The 25190-nt window shown below is 37.3% G+C and overlaps 2 protein-coding genes across 35 annotated transcripts in view, besides 1 other annotated feature; one reads left to right on the plus strand and one right to left on the minus strand.

Annotated features, from left to right (window-relative positions):
* The window catches only part of VRK2 (VRK serine/threonine kinase 2), a 252329-nt gene extending 249449 nt beyond the window's left edge, over nt 1-2880 (plus strand). For 12 of the 16 annotated variants that reach the window (NM_001288836.1, NM_001130483.2, NM_001130480.2 and 9 more), the window contains one exon: nt 2309-2880. In NM_001288836.1, coding sequence (NP_001275765.1) covers nt 2309-2653 — 345 coding nt within the window. In that variant the 3' untranslated portion in view covers nt 2654-2880. The remainder of the gene's footprint in view (nt 1-2308) is intronic. The other 4 variants (NM_001288837.2, NM_001288838.2, NM_006296.7 and 1 more) reach the window with 1 other exon arrangement.
* The window catches only part of FANCL (FA complementation group L), an 82138-nt gene continuing 59150 nt past the window's right edge, over nt 2203-25190 (minus strand). For 9 of the 19 annotated variants that reach the window (XM_047444853.1, XM_017004416.2, XM_047444855.1 and 6 more), the window contains 6 exons: nt 8684-8834; nt 6394-6477; nt 5989-6034; nt 5826-5907; nt 4482-4598; nt 2207-3139 (listed from right to left, as the gene is read on the minus strand). In XM_047444853.1, the coding sequence (XP_047300809.1) occupies nt 3008-3139; nt 4482-4598; nt 5826-5907; nt 5989-6034; nt 6394-6477; nt 8684-8834 (612 nt within the window). In that variant the 3' untranslated portion in view covers nt 2207-3007. Of the gene's footprint in view, nt 3140-4411; nt 4599-5825; nt 5908-5988; nt 6035-6393; nt 6478-8683; nt 8835-25190 lie in introns of those variants that run through there. The other 10 variants (NR_156742.2, NM_001438892.1, NM_018062.4 and 7 more) reach the window with 5 other exon arrangements.
* Nucleotides 6920-7120: a silencer, noted in NCBI's record as "peak3710 fragment used in MPRA reporter construct". NCBI's record gives its function as "represses an SCP1 promoter by STARR-seq MPRAs in K562 erythroleukemia cells {active_cell/tissue: K562}" and the evidence as "EXISTENCE:reporter gene assay evidence [ECO:0000049][PMID:32103011]".

The following is a 25190-nucleotide window of genomic DNA, read 5'->3' on the forward strand; positions in this document are numbered from 1 at the left end:
TGTTCAGGCTTTTTTGGCCTAGTCTGCAGTAAATCTTAAATTGTGGCCTTTCTTAGGTCTGTGTTATTTTCCCTTCCTGAGCTTTGTTTTAGATCCCTAAGTTATTTCACATATTTTGACTAATTTTGTTTTCTATTATTTATTTATGGGTTTTCACAGCAGAAGGGGAAGTCTGGTATCAGATTTTCATGGCCAGAGTGGAAGTAGTGTTGCTATTTTTCATAGCTTCCCAGTCGATTCTGATGTGCATTCAAAGTTAATAACTATTCTAATGTAGGGTTTCTTGACAGCTGCACTGTTGACATTTGGGAGCTGAGCTGTTATTTGTTGTGGGGGTGCTGTCCTGTGATGTAGGATGTTTCGCATCATTCCTAGTACTTATCTACTAGGTGTCAATAGTATCTCCTCCTAGCTGTAACAACCCAAAATGTCTCCAGAAATTGCTAAATGTCCTCTGTGGGGCAGGATCAACCCAGGCTGAGAACCAATGCTCTATCACAGTAGATTATTGCATTGCCTTGAGCCCTTTGCTACTCAAAGTGGGGTGTGCAGACCAGCTGTATTGGCATCATCTGGAGCTTCTCAGAAATACAGAATCTCAGGTCATACTCCTAGACCTTTTGAATGAGATCTGCATTTTAACAAGTTATGATGATCTGTTTGCTTTCTAATACTCGAAGAATAATGCCGTAGAGCAGGGGTCAGCAAACCTTTTCTTAAAAGGCCAGAAAGAAAATATTTTCAGTTTACTTTCCATACAGTTTTTGTCAGAACTATTCAACAATGCCATTGTAGTGCAAAAGCCCACATAGACAATACATAAACAAATTGATGTGGCTCTGTTCCAATAAAACTTTATTCACAAAACAGGCAACTAGCCAAGCCAAATTTTGGCAACTCCTGTTATAGACTATCCTAATCAGACCCCCTCAGTGTACTGAAGACAACAGGTGGTTAAATTCTTTGATGAGTGCCTTGCCATATGATGTCATTTGCTGATGTTCAAGAGAGATTAAGTGTATAGATTACACAGTAGATGATTCTGGAAATTATAGTAGCTTGACTTCTATCCTTACCTAAGTGGAGATATCTCCCAGCCTTGCACATGTGAGCTATATGTAAATGCTGCTCTATGATTTGATAGCATAATTATTATTTGTATTATGCTTTATAGGCCTACTGGAATAATTATTCACTTATTTTGACTTTAGTTAATAAAGCTGACAAACTTATGAAAAACTGCATTAATGTGACTTCGTTAGCTCAGAAAGAGTAGTTTAAAATGAGTTATTTAACTCTAAAGTGAGTCATTTAACTCTCAAGTAATTTTTTTTCATAGGAAAGCTAGTAGTTTTTAAAACATCCTTTGTTTTATGTAGGACTCCTTTCTGACACTTCCAAAACTCTGTATCTAGAAAGGGGAGGGCTGTTTGTTTGAAGGGTGGCAGTTTAAAGGTTGAGAAGGTAGTAGCTATTCTGAGAATGATGGACAGTGAACAAGCTTAAAGTATTTTGCTTTGTTTTATAAATTTCTTCTCTTCTAAGTTAGTTACTTGATAAATGGTGCTGAGGGGGCATGCCAGATGTCACCAAAGCAAAGCAGAAAAACTCGACTTTCAGCCAGTTAAGTGGTGATCAGGAAACTGATTCCTGGGACTTTGGCCAACAGGAATGATGAAAACATAGAAGTAGCTCCCGAAACTTGCATAAGTAACCAGTTAATTTGTTTTATATTAATACCACTTAATTTGCTTTATATTAATATCTATTCGGTCTATACTGGTTCGTCTGTATAGCTTTCCAAGAGACATAACACTATAGCTACCCCTGAGGCAGTTTTCTTTGGCTGTGTACAGCCTCATCCTTTGCCCACTGTACAGTGGACACTTCTCAGTTGCCATGGAATCAGAAGGTAAAGAAAGAATCACATTAATGACCAAAATATTTCTAATTATGGCTATCTTACCCCCTTAAGATTAAGCCCAATTTTTTGGTTTTGCCAAGAAAATTCAGTTTTCATATTCTATCCTATTTATTTTTAGATTATAAATTACTTAAGAGATGGCCTACTGACGTGGTTTAAAAGAACCACTCAAATTATATCCAGATTTGCTTGTTGGATGTTTATAAACTCTTAAAAAGTGTAAATCTTTAAGATCTTTACCTAAAAATTACTTCTCAGGAAAAATAACACGCAAAAACTTGATCTTGTATAACATTTTATTTAGCATTCTTACACACTACACAAAATAAATACTTGGATAACTCACGTCTAACAAACTAAACTATATATGTATTTTTTCCATAGGAAAGCACAAGGAGAAGACAGAAATATCAAGAGTCTCAAGAACCTTTGAATGAAGTAAACAGTTTCCCACAAAAAATCAGCTATACACAATTCCCAAACTCATTTTATGAGCCTCATCAAGATTTTACCAGTCCAGATATATTCAAGAAGTCAAGATCTCCATCTTGGTATAAATACACTTCCACAGTCAGCACGGGGATCACAGACTTAGAAAGTTCAACTGGACTTTGGCCTACAATTTCCCAGTTTACTCTTAGTGAAGAGACAAACGCAGATGTTTATTATTATCGCATCATCATACCTGTCCTTTTGATGTTAGTATTTCTTGCTTTATTTTTTCTCTGAAGATGATACCAAAATTCCTTTTGATAATTTTTTAAGTTTCCAGCTCTTCACCGAAATGTTGTATTCTTATTTCAGTGTTTCCTTCCAGACATTTTTAAGGTAATTGGCTTTAAAAAGAGAACATATTTTAACAAAGTTTGTGGACACTCTAAAAAATAAAATTGCTTTGTACTAGAAATAGTGTCATAGAATAGTGTCATAGTACAGTTTGGAAAACACTTCTGAAGTTTCAGATCACCTAGGAAATCTAGAAAAGGAGTTTAATGTTTTTGATCAGAGAATTTGAAAAATAGAAATACAGAGAATGAGTTTCAAAAGTTTTAGATAAACTGATATACTATATAGATCTATCTTCTAGAACATATTACTGAAAGCTAGGCACATTTTATGAGATGTGATTAACAATTTGCTTACCTTACTACAATATGGACATTCACCAAATATGATGTTAAAACTCTGTCTACTAGTTAGTAGTCCTCTCAGCCACTGCAAATTTTAAAAGATAAAGGAGAAGCGTCAGCATGATTACAAATTACAGATACTCCAAATGTCATTCCCTTTGTTTTTAAGTGCATTATGTTTTTATTCCAGAAGACTTAGCTTAATTTTGTTTTGCAAGAGTAAGGGATGTATTTCCTGAGCCAATAGCAGACTATTAAGATGTTGAGTAACAAGGGAAATCAACATGGAATTGAAGGCCTAAACCACTGGTTTATAACCAGATTATGGGCCCCTTTAAGAATCTGATAAGAATTACGCATTTTCTTTATCCCCAGAATAGACATACATAAAAATAATGCATACTAAGTTCCTGGCATTCATAGACTTTCCCTAAATCCATTAATCACAAATTAACAACTCCTGCTGTTAAAGATACTACAGGCTCTTGAAAATTTCCCTCTTAGTTCTGGTCTGAATCACTAACAGTGGGTTAATTTTCAACCCATTGATTATAAGCATGAGCCAGTGAATTTTTAAAAATTAAATGAATATTCATAATTACAAAAGAAATCACATGTTCCCTTAGAGTATTTCTGTAATTTGACCTGTATTTCTGTAATTTCATGATTTTATATAAGGTAAATAGATGCCTCTGCCTAAGTTCTCCATTGGCAAAGTACAGACGGCACCAACTGCTACCTCTAATCACAAAAGTAAAGATGTGATATTAAGGAAGACTGAAACCGAAGGCAACATACAATTGCAAGGTGTTCTGTATATAGTTACACACAGTTTATCATGTATCAACTAGGCCCTAAGGTGAAGCCAGGCACTAAAGACAGGAATGAAAGTAGACTTCACATACAGTAAGTAAAGTGGCATTGCCTGAGTGCTGTGAGACTCAGATCACAAAAGGCATTCTTCTCAACATGAAAAGTAGTAGTATTGGATATATTCTATTCTTAAATGCAGCCTGAAAAGTAATAGATACTACATAGTACTAATTTCATTTTCACTGTATTACTGCCACTTTCAACCACCTCCACCTCGGGTAAACCTATGAAGCTTACATTGTGGTAACAAGGAATTTATAGAAAGATTCCAATGTACCATCAATTTAATTTGTTATGTGTCAATAAGCTAGTCCATGAATATATTCTGGATAGATTTTCTCCCTTGGATACTTCAGAACATTTCTCCACTCATTAGTAACTGTGATGAAGAAATGAAGCACATAAGCATCTGGAATAAACTGGTAAAAGGAGTTAATGGCAAAAGAGAGGATCACTATTGACTCAACAGATTTTAGATTCTGTGTATTTCAAACAGGAATACTTCCTATGTTGTGTTAGCGGAAAAAAGTCTTGACAATATTTTTATTTTTTACCTCATATAAGCATATTTGATGGAAAGGTTGTCCACACTGAGAATTATCACACACTTGATCAGGAATGGTACCGTCAAGTTGATAAGCATAACAAATTCCACAATCCATAGTAAAATCCTTCAAAAGAAAAATATTTATAAAAAGCGTATGTGTCTCACTAACTTATTCGTTGTACATATTTGGGAGGGTATGTGTGATATTTTGATACATGTATACAGTGTTTAATGATGACATCAGGATAATTAAGATATTCATCACCTCAACATTTACCTTTTATGTTGGGAACATTACAATTCTTCTAACTACTTTAGAATACGAAATCATCTATGTGTTTAAAACACAAGGTAAGATCAGGAAGAATGTTTTATAAATATAGTTTTTATAAAGGTGACTATATTGCTGTATTATAGGAAATATAATTACATTACTATTTAACACCTAGCAAAGCTATTGTAGGGTGTTTCCTTTTCCACTCAAATATACACAGCTAGGCTAAAAAAAGAGATTCCATTTTTGGCTGGCAAGATGTTTGGGCATCAGTAATATTCCCATATCATACATTGTTATAATGTCCCTGATAGTATTTAAAGAAAGGAATTGATATTAGCTAGTGATTACTAAACAGCACAATTCTGTAACTAAAGGAAAAAGAAACTCACTACCATTTAGTAGTCTACAACCTTAGCAGCCTTGTCAAAAATCAATTCTATTATTTTTGCAGTATAGTGGTATCTATTCAATTTTGAGAAACTATAACTGCTTCACAAACACTTACATCAAGCTAATCAGTATTTGAGCCATCCATAAACAGACTATGTAGAAAAGCCAAACATCTCATTAGCTACTTTGGAGTTCTCCCCTTATTTTTAATAAATGTCTGTCATTAATGACGTCACTACTGAAGACCATGAAAAAAGTATATAGTTGACCCTTGAACAACATGGGTTTGAACTGCACAGGTCTACTTATACACAGATTTTTTTTTTAACCAAATGCAGATCAAAAATACAGTACTGACAAGATGCAGAACCTGTGTTTATGTGAAATCTCTGTATACAGAGGGCCGACTTCTTCTATATATGGGTCCTGCAGGGTAACTGTGGAACTTTAATGTCTGTGGATTTTTGTATCCATGGGCAGCCCTGAAATCAATCCCCCTGTTCCAAGAGACAGTTGTACTTAACAACCAATCAAAGGTAAACAAGTTTTTTGATGCAGATCAGAAGTCTGTGTTATAATATTTTTCTAATTCCCTCCTTTTTCAGCCTCATTTTTCACTGAGAGAAGCATTTAAACTTCATTATGCAATACTGTCTGGAATATCAAAACACTGATAAAACTTACAGATTTTTCCAGGATAGCACGAGCTGGAAAATCAATTTCTAAAACATCTTTCAAATTTTGTAACACACTATTTTCTGGATCCCTGAAAGCATGGGGAAAAAAATTATGCTGTGAACTTTGTAAAATCACCAAAAAGTAAAAATTATATTGCCAAGGTACCTACCACAAATGTATGTTCCTGCTCAGCTTAATTCCCAGGGGTTTTACCACTTCAGATTAAAAAAAAAAAATTTAATAATTGCATGCTCTACTCTTGGTTTCTAAAGCCACATTTGATACAGAATGTTTCTTAACTACTTGATTAGAAAATCAAAATTATATGTATTATGTTAAAAAACAAAATTATACAGTTCAGAATGCTGAGACATTGTCATTTAAAATAACTATCATTATTGCGGTGAACCGAGATCGCGCCATTACACTACATACTGGGCAACAAGAGCAAAACTCCGTCTCAGACAAAAAATAAAAACTACCATTAATATACTAATATTGTCTAATAATTTAACAATGCTAGGCAAGGATTTTATGACTCTATTAAAAAACGTTTAAATCTCAGATGTCATACCATGGTCAGCTCCAAGAAAGAAGCACTCAGGAAGCATAGTAGGATGCCTGGGGTCTACCTCTATATTTATGGAAACATTATTACCTAGAATGAAACAAGATTAAATCTTTTAGAAGTAGAACAGCTCATCAAACAACCCAATAAAAAATAAAGAGGTGTTGGTCTGGCTACCTATTTCACTGTATACCCACGGAAAGATTAACCAAATGTTTTGTAGTTTTATGTAATGGTAAATATAATTGAACCAAAAGAAGTAATTTTGATATGATTATCATTGAAAGGATCTTAAATTTCAGCCAGTCAACAAATTGATATATTTAATTAGATTGCAATTCTGGTCAACTGTATTAAAGTTTAAATAAAAATGTTCTGTGGAGTGATAAAGGTCTTTAATATCAAAACTATCACAAGTCACATGTTTAAGAAATAACTATCTAAATTATTTTTCATGGCTTTCCTGAAAAAGTTTACATTTCATAGAACTATGGCCAAATGTAAAAAGACCAACAATACAGTAAATGGTAAAAACAAACATTAAAGATTCAAGTTTTATAAAAATTTATAAAAACATTTTCTGTATTATTTTGCTGCATGTGAAACTTTCCCTTATAATTTAACAAAAGATTTCATTCACATTGGCAATTGTTCATTAATAACCAAAACAATAAGTAACCTAATTTCGCAAGACCTAAGAAAATTGGCACTAGGTTCTTTTATACATTTTAACTGTACTGGACTACAGCGTAAGTTTCAGAAATTTTACTTCTATTTTTTGAAGGTACATAGTGTAACTGCTTAAGATCAATTTGGATTTCATTTTCATCGTAAAAATGTCTTGATAAATTCCATACACTGTAGAATAAGCCTTTCACTAAGGCTGGCATCAACATAAATGCAGTTATTGCATATCTGGCAAAAAGAGGTCATTAACAGAAAAAAATGACTAGCCATTCAATGAGACAAATAAAAATACAAAAAGTTATAATCTCATTTGGTAACACATTATTTACTATGAACAGAAATTTCTTATTAGCCCTCAACACTGTCATCTGGTAATGGCTCCAGACAGTACTTTCACGTAATATGGGCATATTAACTAATTTTTCCAATCACTTGTTCAAAACTTGGTCTTAAGAAAGCAAATCATGCCTGGAGGAGAAAAAAGAAGCTAAAAGGTAAATAGGGAATGAATTAAAAACTAGACTATGTATGCTGAATGAGAAATATAGTAAGTATATTTAATCATAACCTGATAATTACTTTAATGGGGCCACGAAAATAATGATTTACTACATTTCTTTGAAGAAAATATTTTCATTCTTAGTATCTACTTGTTCACAAATATACCATAATTTGGTTAATTGTTCCAAATTAAACACAGTTAGACTTTTTGAAACCAGGAAAGTACCAATACTATTTGTAGAACTGCTGTAAACTATACTTTCTTCTCGTAATACCACGTATGTGACATTCTTCCCCCAGATAATCTATATTATACCTAGGTATAAAGTATAAAAATTGCTCACTAACTTGGATGTGATTCACATCAGAATTTCAAAATACCCTTGAACAACATATCTATTTAGAAAAAAAGAAATGGGTATCTTAAAACTAGCTATGGTATTTAATGTGAGCTTAAATATAGTTTATCTAAAATCTTGAGAAAGGCTGAAGTCACATGTTTTGCTTGCTTATAATGAAAATACACAGCCATTTTATAGTCGAGAACATGATAACATTGCACAGGTATTTATGATTATACCATATCTCATTCATAAATTTCATATACTTGTGAAGAAAATACTTAAAACTATAAATTCTTTCTCTGTGCTTTCTGTTTACTCTTCAGTGGCATGGTCTACTGCAAGTTCTTTTATCTTCCTCTGTATTTCTAACAGAAAATATTCCCAGATCTGAGCACACTAATCTGAGAAGATTGTAAGCTTCACAAATGAAGACTGCATTATTCTGACTTTTTTCTTGTTCTAAGTAATGTAAATTTTGAGTTACCTGTTCCACGATTCCTGTGCTAATTAGCAGCTAATTAAACTCTACTTCTGAATGTTACCTCCATTGGATCATCACCTTTTATAATGAAACACCTCAGTACTTCTCCTTTTCACCTAAAATATTTACATTTAAATGTGTAGCCAAAAAAAAGTTTATACTAGAAAATTTTAATAGTTGACTTCATATAAAGAAGTCTGAGTCCAACTGTCATTGTTAGATTTATTTTCATAATACAAAATAAAACACCTAAAAACAAACCCTTAATCCTCCTTGTCCCTACCTAATGCAATTCTGCGTGCTGTTGCACTCCGTGGAGGTTTTTCTGGCTCAAGTACCCAGGTCTTCTCATCGATTTCATCCATAACATCCCAGAATGCCTTTAGTGATTCTATTGCTGCCAAAAACTGACTATAAATGCTTATTAAGGAGCTCTGTGAAAAAAATGAAAGTTGAATAAGTTATATGGTACTCTACCAATAGCAGATAATCTTTTACTTAAAATACACTCAATTTAGAAATTTTAAGCTGTTTCATTTTAGCTACAAAGTAGACTCCAGTAAACAGTAGTCGACTCTCCCTGCTTCACATCTCTTCCTACAGCGTTTACAGGATTCTTTTTTATTGACAGTAGACTATACACCTGAGAAAGAATGGTTTTTTAAAAATCATAATTTTTTTATTATAATGCTTGATATACTACACGTATGCAATAGTAATGAGTACAAGATGTATGTACACACAACTTTAATAAATATTAATGTACATGATATAGCTAACATTGGACCTATACAAAATGTCTATAATATTTTAGTATGAAAATCTTAATTTCATGTTTGCTGCAGCAATCAAGTTAAATGCAGTGCTATTTGTAATTTAGTGAGATTACCTTTAAATATTATTAAAAACTTTGGAGACCTAATTAGGCAGAGTATGAAAAGGTTTTACACATTTTTAAAGAATTAAAACAGAAGGTACAAATGATGTTTTTCCACATTTAACTTTTAGCCAATCTCTGAATTCAGCATTTCATATATTAATCCCTTTATAGGAATTAGCTTAAATATAGTTTCACTAAATAATAAGTAATGCCATCACTGACTTTAAAAATCAGTTTTTAAACAAAGGAGTTTCTCATGAAACAATGTGGTATGTTTAAAAGATACAACTGCTTACTAAATACTTTTGATACAAAATCAAAACAGTTTAATAAGAAGGATTTGTTTCAAGTACACAAAATGTAAAGTCACATACTACAAACGTTTTCAATCTGAAATAACTGGCCACACCAATAATTTAAGAATATGATACACCCTAAGATGAAAAGAAACTAGCCACTTCCTTAAACATGTATTTTATACCTAATACTTAAGGAAAACCCATCCCATTTTGTCACTTCAGTCAAGGTTTACACTTGGATGAATTCATGCTCAGTTCCACTGTGCTGGATTCAACTGTTCTAACCTTCTACACATATTTTTTTAAAAAGTGGGCCAGGTGCAGTGGCTCAGGCCTGTAATCCCAGCACTCTGGGAGGCTGAGGTGCGCAGATCACGAGGTCAAGAGATAGAGACCATCCTGGCCAATAAGGTGAAACCTTGTCTCTTCTAAAAATACAAAAATTAGCTGGGCGTAGTGGCACGCGCCCATAGTCCCAGCTATTTGGGAGACAGAGGCAGGAGAATCACTTGAACCCGGGAGGCAGAGGTTGCAGTGGGCCGAGATCGCGCCACTGCACTCCAGCCTGGTGACAGAGCTAGACTCCGTCTCAAAAAGAAAAAAAAGGTGTGAAGTAGGAATTAGAGCCTAATACCCGAAAAATAACCTTTGAGGATATTGACGGTATAATGTCTGTTCTCTTCTGGTATACTTTACTTACCTGTAAGTTTAGGTGACAGAATCCAGAAATCAGAAAATTAAACTCCCAAGAAGCTAGTTTTAAAATCAGTACAATAGTATATCTCTGTTTCTCCTTTCTCTGTCTGTTTCTACATGTGTATTTAAAATCCGTAATTACCTATTCCTTTGTATACCCAAGATAAGGTTAACTCCCCTGCCAAAAAAAGAGTTATAAAATATTTTCACAGTGGCATCTTTTATTTGAAGTTTTTTCCAATGGCATTGTCCATTTCTCTTATGCACAACTGCAAATAAAATCCTAATTGCATTTTGAACAGAAAAATGTATTCTTAATAAGAAAATAGCCAAAAACAAAACATCCCTGGAACTAGAAGTTACTTGGTAATTACAGAAAAAGTGAATTTTAAACCCTAAAAGCCATTATACGATTTTACTAGCTAGCCATTTGAGGTAGATACATTAAACATTATTTTTACATTCCAGATGGGGAAAAGAAAGATCAAAAATGTGACAAGTTGGACATAGAAACACTTCTCTTAGCAATTTCAACGAACTTAGGGGGTAGACATCAAAACTATTATATCAGTAAGCTATGCGATTAATAGTTTTTTCTCCAACTGCTTATTTTGTCCATTAAATCACTAAAAACCCTTATTTTGAATTTTTTCCCCAAATTGAAAAAAATAAATTATTTCTAAATATTACCAATGGAATTAAATACTTTATATACAGCACCACAAATGCCAAGAAATAATATGGCCAAAATTAAAATCAAAGTTCAGTAAGTATTTTGCAGGGAGATGAATTCTCTAAAAAATATTTTTAAAAATAAAAATAGCTAACATTCTTGGTGGCTGGCAAGATGGCCAAACAGGAACAGCTCCAGTCTGCAGCTCCCAGCGAGATCAAGGCAGAAGGCAGGTGATTTCTGCATTTCCAACCAAGGTACCGGCTCACCTCATTGGGACTGGTTAGATAGTGGGTGCAGCCCACAGAGGGCGAGCCAAAGCAGGGTGGGCTATCACCTCACTCAGGAAGCGCAAGGGGTTGGGGAGCTCCCTCCCCTAGCCAAGGGAAGCCATGAGGGACTGTGCCATGAGGAGTGGTGCACTCTGGCCCAGATATGCTTTTCCCACGGTCTTCACAACCCGCAGATCAGGAGATTCCCTCTGGTGCCTATTTCACCAGGGCCCTGGGTTTCAAGCACAAAACTGGGTGGTCATTTGGGCAGACATTGAGCTAGCTACAGGAGTTTTTTTTTTAATACCCCAGTGGCGCCTGCAACACCAGCAAGACAAAACTATTCACTCCCCTAGAAAGGGAGCTGATGCCAGGGCGCCAAGTGGTCTATCTCAGTGGATCCCACCCCAAGAAGCCCAGCAAGCTAAGATCCACTGGCTTGAAATTCTTGCTGCCAGCACAGCAGTCTGAAGTAGACCTGGGGCACTCAAGCTTGGTGGGGGAAGGGACATCCACCATTACTGAGGCTTGAGTACGTGGTTTACCCCTCACAGTGTATACAATGCCACGAGGAAGCTGGAACTGGGCAGAGCTCACCGCAGCTCAGCAAAGCCTCTGTAGCCAGACTGCCTCACCAGATTCCTCCTCTCTGGGCAGGGCACCTCTGAAAGAACAGCAGCAGCCAAAGTCAGAGGCTTATAGATAAAACTCCCATCTCCCTGGGACAGAGCACGTGGGGAAAGGGGCGGCTGTGGGCACAGCTTCAGCAGACTTAAATGTTCCTGCCTGCTGGCTCTGAAAAGAGCAGCAGATCTCCCACCACAACACTCGAGCTCTGCTAAGGGACAGACTGCCTCCTCAAGCAGGGGTCAAAAGACAACTCATACAGGAGAGCTCCAGCTGGCATCTGGAGGATGGCCCTCTGGGACGAAGCTTCCAGAGAAAGGAACAGGCAGCAAAATCTTTGCTGTTCTGCAACCTCCACTGGTGATACCCAGGCAAACAAGGTCTGGAGTGGACCTCCAGCAAAATCCAGCAGACCTGCAGCAGAGGGGTCTGTTAGACGGAAAACTAACAAACAGAAAGCAATAGCATCAACATCAACAAAAAGGACATCCACACCAAAACCCCATATGAAAGTCAACAATATCAAAGACCAAACGTAGATAAATCCACGACGATGAGGAAAAACTCGCACAAAAAGGAGGAAAATTCCAAAAACCAGAACACCTTTTCTCCAACGGATCACAACTCCTCGCCAGCAAGGGAACAAAACTGGACAGAGAATGAGTTTGACAAACTGACAGAAGTAGGCTTCAGAAAGTGGGTAATAACAAACTCCTCTGAGCTAAAGGAGCATGTTCTAACCCAATGCAAGGAAGCTAAGAACCTTGAAAAAAAGTTAGAGGAATTGCTAACTAAAATAACCAGGTTATAGAAGAACATAAATGACCTGATGAAGCTGAAAAACACAGCACGAGAACTTTGTGAAGCATACACAAGTATCAATTGCCGAATCAATCAAGCGGAAGAAAGGATATCAGAGATTTAAGATCAACTTAATGAAATAAAGTGTGAAGACAAGATTAGAGAAAAAAGAATGAGAAGGAATGAACAAAGCCTCCAAGAAATATCAGACTATGTGAAAAGACCAAACCTATGTTTGATTGGTGTGCCTGAAAGTGATGGGGAGAGTGGAACCAAGTTAAAAAACACTCTTCAGGATGTTATCCAGGACAGCTTCTCCAACATTCCAATTCAGGAAATACAGAGAACACCACAAAGATACTCCTCCAGAACAGCAACCACAAGACACATAATGGTCAGATTCATCAAGGTTGAAATGAAGGAAAAAATGTTAAGGGCAGCCAGAGACAAAGGTTGGGTTACCCACAAAGGGAAGCCCATCAGACTAACAGCAGATCTCTCTGCAGAAACCCTACAAGCCAGAAGAGAGTGGGGGCCAATATTTAATATTCTTAAAGAAAAGAATTTTCAAACTAGAATTTCCTATCCCGCCAAACTAACCTTCAGGAGTGAAGGAGAAATAAAATCCTTTACAGACAAGCAAATCCTGATAGATCTTGTCACCACCAGGCCTGCCTTACAAGAGCTCCTGAAGGACGCGTGAAATATGCAAAGGAAAAACCAGTACCAGCCACTGCAAAAACATACGAAAATGTAAAGACCATCAACACTATGAAGAAACTGCATCAACTAACAAAATAACCAGCTAGCATCATAATGACAGGATCAAATTTACACATAAATGTAAACGAGCTAAATCCCCCAATTAAAAGACACAGACTGGCAAATTGGATAAACAGTGAAGACCCACTGCTATGCTGTATTCAGGAGATCCATCTCACGTGCAAAGAAACACACAGGCTCGAAATAAAGGGATGGAGGAATATTTACCAAGCAAATGGAAAGCAAAAAAAAAAAAAAGCATGGTTTGCAATACCAGTATCTGATAAAACAGACTTTAAACCAACAAAGATCAAAAGAGACAAAGAAGGGCATTACATAATGGTAAACGGATCAATGCAACAAGGAGAGCTAACAATCCTAAATGTATATGCACCCAATACAGAAGCAACCAGATTCATAAAGCAAGTTCTCAGAGACCTACAAAGAGACTTAAGACTCCCACACAATAATAGTGGGAGACTGTAACACCCCCACTGTCAATATTAGACAGATCAACGAGACACAAAATTAACAAGGATATTCAGGAGTTGAACTCAGCTCTGGACCAAGCAGACCTAATAGACATCTACACAACTCTCCACCCCAAATTAACAAAACATACATTCCTCTCAGCACCACATCACACTTCTTTTAAAACTGATCACAAAATTTGAAGTAAAACACTCTTCAGCAAATGCAAAAGGATGGAATTCAATAAAATCTCTCAAACCACAGTGCAATCAAATTAGAACTCAGGATTAAGAAACTCACTCAAAACTGCACAACTACATAGAAACTGAACAACCTTCTCCTGAATGACTACTGAGTAAATAACAAAATTAAGGCAGAAATAAATAAGTTTTTTGAAACTTAAGTTATTGAGAACAAAGACACAATGTACCAGAATCTCTGGGACACAGCCAAAGCAGTGTTTCAAGGGAAATTTATAACGAAATGCCCACATGAGAAAGCAGAAAGAACTAAAATTGACACCCTAACATCACAATTAAAAGAACTACAGAAGCAAGAACAAACATTCAAAAGCTAGCAGAAGACAAGAAATAACTAAGATCAGAGCAGAACTGAAGGAGATAGAGACACGAAAAACCCTTCAAAAAAATCAATGAACCCAGGAGCTGGTTTTTTGAAAAGAGTAACAAAATAGGGGATTGGAGCCAAGATGGCCGAATAGGAACAGCTCCGGTCTACAGCTCCCAGGGTGAGCGACGCAGAAGACGGGTGATTTCTGCATTTCCATCTGAGGTACCGGGTTCATCTCACTAGGGAGTGCCAGACAGTGGGCGCAAGACAGTGGGTGCAGTGCACCATGCGCGAGCAGAAGCAGGACGAGGCACTGCCTCCCTCGGGAAGTGCAAAGGGTCAGGGAGTTCTCTTTCCTAGTCAAAGAAAGGGGTGACAGACAGCACCCGGAAAATCGGGTCACTCCCACCCCAATACTGCGCTTTTCCGACGGGTTTAAAAAACGGCACACCAGGAGATTACATCCCGCTTGGAGAGTCCTACGCCCACGGAGCCTCCTTCATTGCTAGCACAGCAGTCTAAGATCAAACTGCAAGGTGGCAGCGAGGCTGGGGGAGGGGCGCCCGCCATTGCCCAGGCTAGCTTAGGAAAACAAAGCAGCCGGGAAGCTCGAACTGGGTGGAGCCCACCACAGCTCAAAGAGGCCTGCCTGCCTCTGTAGGCTCCACCTCTGGGGACACGGCACAGACAAACAAAAAGACAGCAGTAACCTCTGCAGACTTAAATGTCCCTGTCCGACAGCTTTGAAGAGAGCAGTGGTTCTCTCAGCACGCACCTGGAGATCTGAGAACAGGCAGACTGCCTCCTTAAGTGGGTTCTTGACCCCTGACCCCTGAGCAGCCTAACTGGGAGGCACCGCCCAGTAGGGGCAGACTGACACCTCACATGGCCAGGTACTCCTCTGAGACAAAACTTCCAGAGGAACCATCAGACAGCAGCATTCGTGGTTCAAGAAAATCTGCTGTTCTGCAGCCACCGCTACTGGTACCCAGGCAAACAGGGTCTGGAGTGGACCTCTAGCAAACTCCAACAGACCTGCAGCTGAGGGTCTCTGTTAACAGAGGGTCTGTTTGTTAACAGAAAGGACTCTTAGCTGAGGGTCTGTGTGTTAACAGAAAAGACATCCACACCAAAAACCCATCTGTACATCACCATCATCAAAGACCAAAAGTAGATAAAACCACAAAGATGGGGAAAAAACAGACCAGAAAAACTGGAAACTCTAAAAAGCAGAGCGCCTCTCCTCCTCCAAAGGAACACAGCTCCTCACCAGCAATGGAACAAAGCTGGACAGAGAATGACTTTGACGAGTTGAGAGAAGAAGGCTTCAGACCATCAAACTACTATGAGCTACAGGAGGAAATTCAAACCAAAGGCGAAGAAGCTGAAAACTTTGAAAAAAATTTAGACGAATGCATAACTAGAATAACCAATACAGAGAAGTGCTTAAAGCAGCTGATGGAGCTGAAAGCCAAGACTTGAGAACTACGTGAAGAATACAGAAGCCTCAGGAGCCGATGCGATCAACTGGAAGAAAGGGTATCAGTGACGGAAGATGAAGTGAATGAAATGAAGCAAGAAGGGAAGCTTAGAGAAAAAAGAATAACAAGAAACGAACAAAGCCTCCAAGAAATATGGCACCATGTGAAAAGACCAAACCTACGTCTGATTTGTGTACCTGAAAGTGACGAGGACAATGGAACCAAGTTGGAAAACACTCTGCAGGATATTATCCAGGAGAACTTCCCCAATCTAGCAAGGCAGGCCAACATTCAGATTAAAGAAATACAGAGAATGCCACAAAGATACTCTCGAGAAGAGCAACTCCAAGACACATAATTGTCAGATTCACCAAAGTTGAAATGAAGGAAAAAATGTTAAGGGCAGCCAGAGAGAAAGGTCGGGTTACCCACAAAGGGAAGCCCATCAGACTAACAGCTGATCTCTCAGCAGAAACTCTACAAGCCAGAAGAGAGTGGGAGCCAATATTCAACATTCTTAAAGAAAAGAATTTTCAACCCAGAATTTCATATCCAGCCAAACTAAGCTTCATAAGTGAAGGAGAAATAAAATCCTTTACAGACAAGCAAACGCTGAGAGATTTTGTCACCACCAGGCCTGCCCGAAAAGAGCTCCTGAAGGAAGCACTAAACATGGAAAGGAACAACCGGTACCAGCCGCTGCAAAATCATGCCAAATTGTAAAGACCATCGAGGCTAGGAAGAAACTGCATCAACTAACAAGCAAAATAACCAGCTAACATCATAATGACAGGATCAAACTCACACATAACAATATTAACTTTAAATGTAAATGGACTAAATGCTCCAATTAAAAGACATAGACTGGCTAATTGGATAAAGAGTCAAGACCCATCAGTGTGCTGTATTCAGGAAACAAATCTCACAAGCAGAGACACACATAGGCTCAAAATAAAAGGATGGAGGAAGATCTACCAAGCAAATGGAAAACAAAAAAAGGCAGGGGTTGCAATCCTAGTCTCTGATAAAACAGACTTTAAACCAACAAAGATCAAAAGAGACAAAGAAGGCCATTACATAATGGTAAAGGGATCAATTCAACAAGAGGAGCTAACTATCCTAAATATATATGCACCCAATACAGGAGCACCCAGATTCATAAAACAAGTCCTGAGTGACCTACAAAGAGACTTAAGACTCCCACACAATAATAATGGGAGAATTTAACACCCCACTGTCAACATTAGACAGATCAACAAGACAGAAAGTTAACAAGGATACCCAGGAATTGAACTCAGCTCTGCACCAAGCAGACCTAATAGAAATCTACAGAACTTTCCACCCCAAATCAACAGAATATACATTTTTCTCAGCACCACACCACACCTGTTCCAAAATCGACCACATAGTTGGAAATAAAGCTCTCCTCAGCAAATGTAAAAGATCAGAAATCATAACAAACTGTCTCTCAGACCACAGTGCAATCAAACTAGAACTCAGGATTAAGAAACTCACTCAAAACCGCTCATCTACATGGAAACTGAACAACCTGCTCCAGAATGACTACTGGGTACATAACAAAATGAAGGCAGAAATAAAGATGTTCTTTGAAACCAACGAGAACAAAGACACAATATACCAGAATCTCTGGGACACATTCAAAGCAGTGTGTAGAGGGAAATTTATAGCACTAAATGCCCACAAGAGAAAGCAGCAAAGATCCAAAATTGACACCCTGACATCACAATTAAAAGAACTAGAAAAGCAAGAGCAAACACATTCAAAAGCTACCAGAAGGCAAGAAATAACTAAAACCAGAGCAGAACTGAAGGAAATAGAGACACAAAAGACCCTTCAAAAAATTAATGAATCCAGGAGCTGGTTTTCTGAAAGGATCAACAAAATTGATAGACCGCTAGCAAGACTAATAAAGAAGAGAGAAGAATCAAATAGATGCAGTAAAAAATGATAAAGGGTACATCACCACCGATCCCACAGAAATACAAACTACCATCAGAGAATACTATAAACACCTCTATGCAAATAAACTAGAAAATCTAGAAGAAATGGATAAATTCCTCGACACATACTCCCTCCCAAGACTAAACCAGGAAGAAGTTGAATCTCTGAATAGACCAATAACAGGCTCTGAAATTGTGGCGAAAATCAATAGCTTACCAACCAAAAAGAGTCCAGGACCAGATGGATTCACAGCCGAATTCTACCAGAGGTACAAGGAGGAACTGGTACCATTCCTTCTGAAACTATTACAATCAATAGAAAAAGAGGGAATCCTCCCTAACTCATTTTATGAGGCCAGCATCATTCTGATACCAAAGCCGGGCAGAGACACAACCAAAAAAGAGAATTTTACACCAATATCCTTGATGAACATTGATGCAAAAATCCTCAATAAAATACTGGCAAACAAAATCCAGCAGCACATCAAAAACGTTATCCACCATGATCAAGTGGGCTTCATCCCTGGGATGCAAGGCTGGTTCAATATACGCAAATCAATAAATGTAATCCAGCACATAAACAGAACCAAAGACAAAAACCACATGATTATCTCAATAGATGCAGATAAGGCCTTTGACAAAATTCAACAACGCTTCATGCTAAAAACTCTCAATAAATTAGGTATTGATGGGACGTATCTCAAAATAATAAGAGCTATCTATGACAAACCCACAGCCAATATCACAGTGAATGGGCAAAAACTTGAAGCATTCCCTTTGAAAACCAGCAGGACAGGGATGCCCTCTCTCACCACTCCTATTCAACATAGTGTTGGAAGTTCTGGCCAGGGCAATTAGGCAGGAGAAGGAAATAAAGGGTATTCAATTAGGAAAAGAGGAAGTCAAATTGTCCCTGTTTGCAGACGACATGATTGTATATCTAGAAAACCCCATTGTCTCAGCCCAAAATCTCCTTAAGCTGATAAGCAACTTCAGCAAAGTCTCAGGATACAAAATCAATGTACAAAAATCACAAGCATTCTTACACACTAATAACAGACAAACAGCCAAATCATGAGTGAACTCCCATTCACAATTGCTTCAAAGAGAACAAAATACCTAGGAATCCAACTTACAAGGGATGTGAAGGACCTCTTCAAGGAGAACTACAAACCACTGCTCAAGGAAATAAAAGAGGATACAAACAAATGGAAGAACATTCCATGCTCATGGGTAGGAAGAATCAATATCATGAAAATGGCCACACTGCCCAACGTACTTTATAGATTCAATGCCATCCCCATCAAGCTACCAGTGACTTTCTTCACAGAATTGGAAAAATCTACTTTAAAGTTCATATGGAACCAAAAAAGAGCCCGCATCGCCAAGTCAATCCTAAGCCAAAAGAACAAAGCTGGAGGCATCACGCTACCTGACTTCAAACTATACTACAAGGCTACAGTAACCAAAACAGCATGGTACTGGTACCAAAACAGAGATATAGATCAATGGAACAGAACAGAGCCCTCAGAAATAACGCCGCATATCTACAACTACCTGATCGTTGACAAACCTGAGAAACACAAGCAATGGGGAAAGGATTCCCTATTTAATAAATGGTGCTGGGAAAACTGGCTAGCTATATGTAGGAAGCTGAAACCGGATCCCTTCCTTACACCTTATACAAAAATTAATTCAAGATGGATTAAAGACTTAAACGTTAGACCTAAAACCATAAAAACCCTAGAAGAAAACCTAGGTATTACCATTCAGGACATAGGCATGGGCAAGGACTTCATGTCTAAAACACCAAAAGCAATGGCAACAAAAGCCAAAATTGACAAATGGGATCTAATTAAACTAAAGAGCTTCTACACAGCAAAAGAAACTACCATCAGAGTGAACAGGCAACCTACAAAATGGGAGAACATTTTCGCAACCTACTCATCTGACAAAGGGCTAATATCCAGAATCTACAAAGAACTCAAACAAATTTACAAGAAAAAAACAAACAACCCCATCAAAAAGTGGGCAAAGGACATGAACAGACACTTCTCAAAAGAAGACATTTATGCAGCCAAGAAACACATGAAAAAATGCTCATCATCACTGGCCATCAGAGAAATGCAAATCAAAACCACAACGAGATATCATCTCACACCACTTAGAATGGCAATCATTAAAAAGTCAGGAAACAACAGGTGCTGGAGAGGATGTGGAGAAATAGGAACACTTTTACACTGTTGGTGGGACTGTAAACTAGTTCAACCCTTGTGGAAGTCAGTGTGGCGATTCCTCAGGGATCTAGGACTAGAAATACCATTTGACCCAGCCATCCCATTACTGGGTATATACCCAAAGGACTATAAATCATGCTGCTATAAAGACACATGCACATCTATGTTTATTGCAGCACTATTCACAACAGCAAAGACTTGGAACCAACCCAAATATCCAACAATGATAGACTGGATTAAGAAAACGTGGCACATATACACCATGGAATACTATGCAGCCATAAAAAAGGATGAGTTCATGTCCTTTGTAGGGACATGGATGAAACTGGAAATCATCATTCTCAGTAAACTATCGCAAGAACAAAAAACCAAACACCGCATATTCTCACTCATAGGTGGGAATTGAACAATGAGAACACATGGACACAGGAAGGGGAACATCACACTCTGGGGACTGTTGTGGGGTGGGGGGAGGGGGGAGGGATAGCTTTAGGAGATATACTTAATGCTAAATGACGAGTTAACGGGTGCAGCACACCAGCATGGCACATGTATACATATGTAAGTAACCTGCACATTGTGCACATGTACACTAAAACTTAATAATAAAATAAAAAAGATTAAAAAAAAAAGAAAAAGAAAAAACAAAAAAAACCCAAATAGACCGCTAGCCAGACTAATAAAGAAGAAAAGAGAGAAGAATCAAATAGACACAATAAAAAAATGATGAAGGGGATATCGCCACTGATCCTACAGAAATACAAACTACTATCACAGAATGCTATAAACACCTCTACACAAATAAACTAGAAAATCTAGAAGAAGTGGATAAATTCCTGGACACATACACCCTCCCAAGACTAAATCAGGAAGAAGTCAAATCCCGAAATAGATCGATAACAACTTCTGAAATTGAGGCAGTATTTAATAGCCTACTAACCAAAAAAAGCCCAGAACCACACAGATTCACAGCCAAATTCTACCAGAGGTACAAAGAAGAGCTGGTACCATTCCTTCTGAAACTATTTCAAACAGAAAAATGACTCCTCCCTAACTCATTTTATGAGGCCTGCATCATCCTGACACCAAAATCTGGAGGAGGCACAACAGAAAAAGAAAATTTCTGGCCAATATCCCTGAACATCAGTGTGAAAATCCTCAACAAAATACTGGCAAACCTAATCTAGCAGCACATCAAAAAGCTTATCTACCACGATCAAGTTGGTTTCAACCCTAGGATTCAAGGCTGGTTCAACATAAGCAAATCAATAAACGTAACCCATCACACAAACAGAACCAAAAACAAAAACCACATGATTATCTCAATAGATGCAGAAAAGGCCTTCAATAAAATTCAATACCCCTTCATGCTAAAAACTCTCAATAAATTAGGTGTTGATGGAACATATCTCAAAACAGTAACAGCTATTTATGACAAACCCACAGTCAATATCATACTGAATGGGCAAAAGCTGGAAGCATTCCCTTTGCAAACCAGCACAAGACAAGGATGCTCTCTCTCACCACTCCTATTCAACACTGTATTGGAAGTTCTAGCCAGGGCAATCAGGCAAGAGAAAGAAATAAAAGGTATTCAAATAGGAGGAGAGGAAGTCAAATTGTCTCTGTTTGCAGATGACATGACTGTATATTTACAAAACCCTATCATCTCAGCCCAAAATCTCCTTAAGCTGATAAGCAACATCAGCAAGGTCTCAGGATACAAAATCAATGTACAAAAATCACAAGCATTCTTATACACCAATAACAGACAAACAGAGAGACAAATTATGAGTGAACTCCCATTCACAATTGCTTCAAAGCGAAGAAAATACCTAGGAATCCAACTTACAAGGGATGTGAAGGACCTCTTGAAGGAGAACTACAAACCACTGCTCAAGGAAATAAGAGAGGACACAAACAAATGGAAAAACATTCCATATTCATGGATAGGAAGAATCAATATCGTGAAAATGGCCATACTGCCCTAAGTAATTTATAGATTCAATGCTATCCCCATCAATCTACCACTGGCTTTCTTAACAGAATTAGAAAAAAACTACTTTACATTTCATATGGAACCAATAAAGAGCCCATATAGCCAAGACAATCCTAAGCAAAAAGAACAAAGCTGGAAGCATCATGCTACCTGACTTCAAACTATACTGCAAGGCATGCTGTAACCAAAACAGCATGGTACTGGTACCAAAACAGAGATATAGACCAATGGAACAAAACAGAGGCCTCAGAAATAACGCCACACATCTACAACCATCTGATCTTTGACAAACATGACAAAAACAAGCAATGGGGAAAGGATTCCCTATTTATTAAACGGTGTTGGGAAAACTGGCTAGCCATATGCAGAAAACTCAAACGGGACCCCTCCCTTACACCTTATACAAAAATTAACACAATATGGATTAAAGACTTAAACATAAGACCTAAAACCATAAAAACCCTAGAAGAAAACCTAGGCAAAACCATTCAGTACATTGGCATGGGCAAAGACTTCATGACTAAAACACCAAAAGCAATGGCAACAAAAACTGACAAATGGGATCTAATTAAACTAAAGAGCTCCTTCACAGCAAAAGAAACTATCATTAGAGTGAACAGGCAATCTACATAATGGGAGAATATTTCTGCAATCTATCCATCTGACAAAGGGCTAATATCCAGAATCTACAAGGAACTTAAATTTACAAGAAAAAAACAACCGTATCTAAAAGTAGGCAAAGGATATGAACAGACATTTCTCAAAAGAACACATTTATGCGGCCAACAAACATATGAAAAAAAGCTCATCATCACTGGTCATTAGAAAAATGCAAATCAAAACCACAATGAGATACTACCACATGCCAGTTAGAATGGCGATCATTAAAAAGTCAGGAAACAACAGATGCTGAAGAGGATGTGGAGAAATAGGAATGCTTTGACACTGTTGGTCGAAGTGTAAATTAGTTCAACCATTGTGGAAGACAGTGTGGCGATTCCTCAAGGATCTAGAAGCAGAAATACTGTTTGATCCAGCAATCCCATTATGGGGTATATACCCAAAGAATTATAAATCATGCTACTATAAAGACATGCATACATATGTTTATTCCAGCATTATTCACAATAGCAAAGACTTGAAACCAACCCAAACGCCCATCAATGATAGACTGGAAAAGAAAATGTGGTACATATACACCATGGAATACTATGCAGCCATAAAAAAGGATGAGTTCATGTCCTTTGCAGGGACACGGATGAAGCTAGAAACCATCATTCTCAGTGAACAGAAAACCAAACACTGCATGTTCTCACTCATAAGCTGGAGTTGAACAATGAGAACACATGGACACAGGGAGGGAAATATCACACACCAGGGCCTGTCGGGGGGTGGGGGACTAGGTGAGGGATAGTATTAGGAGAAATACCTAATGTAGATGTCGGGTTGATGGGTGCAGCAAACCACCATGGCACGTGTATACCTATGTAACAAACCTGCACGTTCTGCACATGTATACCAGAACTTAAAACATAATTAAAAAATAAAATAAAATACAATAAAAATAGCCACCTTCTCATTTTTTAACATAAGCGGTCTCACATCTCACCAGAGCTACTGTGCCATTGTTTAAAGGTTTTTTGTGTGTGTGTGCCCATTTGTAATGTGCAAAGTAATCAAAAAAGAAATCGAAACTTTTCAGAAAAAAAAGTGAGAGTACTAATATTAATGAGATAACATTAAAATAATAAATGTTAATAAGGACACAAAGCAACTGAACTCTCATATACTGTCAGTGCGCATGTAAATGGCACAACTGTTTTGAAAAGATTTGACAATTTCTTTAAGAACTAAATATATTCCTACCTTAACCTGGCAATTCTACTCCAAAAAAAGTGAAAAGATATATCCATAAAAATACCGTTACCGGAATGCTCACAGCAGCTACATTCATAAGCACCAAAAACTGGTAACAGTCCAGATGTTTGTCAACAGGCAAAAGGATTAACAAACCTCAGTATATTCATGCAATGGACTATTACTCAGGAATAAAAAGGAATGAACTATTGGTCCATGTCACAACATGGATAAATTTCAGAAAATGGATGGGTAAAATAAGCCTATGTAGGAAAGAGTACATACTGTATGCCTCTGTTTATAATATCTGGAATAGACATAACTAAGCTTTGGTGGAAAACAATCAAAATAATGGGGATTTACTAGGATGGGACAAAACCCTGTGATGTTAATAATGTTCTGCATCTTGACTGTGGATTGCACTGGTGTATCCATTTACTGGAACTTATGGAACACTTAAGATTTATGCACTTTACTGTTTCCAAATTTTACAAAGAACTGAACTCTAGTTAAATGTATGCATGCCGATGACATATTTTGAAGAAAGTATTCAGATACCTGCAAGTTACTTTGTATAGAACTAAAAATGGCTGGATTTATGGGTGGAAGAAAGGATGAATAAATGGAAAAACATGATAAAGCAAATATAGGAAAGATTAACTATCAAATTTAGATGGTGGATACATGGGTATTCACCATTAACTTTTTCAATGTTTCTTGTATGTCAGAAAATTTGTAATAAAACATTGGAGGGGGGAATGAATCTCAAAAATATTAAATAAATGATATAAATTACGTATGAGTTATTTGTTATAACTGAGAAAGCTGACCAAATTATTATTTCTGGATTAGGTTATAGACTAATTTGCTTCATTTAAAAAATATTTAATAACTGGCCTTTTAAAATAAATCTTCAAATCTATATATTTAAATAATATATTTAAAACCCTCTCTAAAACACACAAATACGTCTTCTCAGAAAAAAAGCTCACTATATAAGACAAATTATAATCTTTGAAATGTCTATGATAAGCATTCTGAATCAGAGAATCTCAAATAGGCTGAAAAAATACATCTTAACTTCTAAGTAAAATGTAGCATTTCCTTCAACTATGGATATAGGTAAGAAACCACAGAAATATTATCAGTAACTGTAACTTTTTCCACAATGAAAATCGTACTGGAATCACCTAAGGAACTTAAA

The sequence above is a fragment of the Homo sapiens genome, chromosome 2, assembly GCF_000001405.40.
Source record: "Homo sapiens chromosome 2, GRCh38.p14 Primary Assembly".
NCBI lineage: Eukaryota > Metazoa > Chordata > Mammalia > Primates > Hominidae > Homo > Homo sapiens.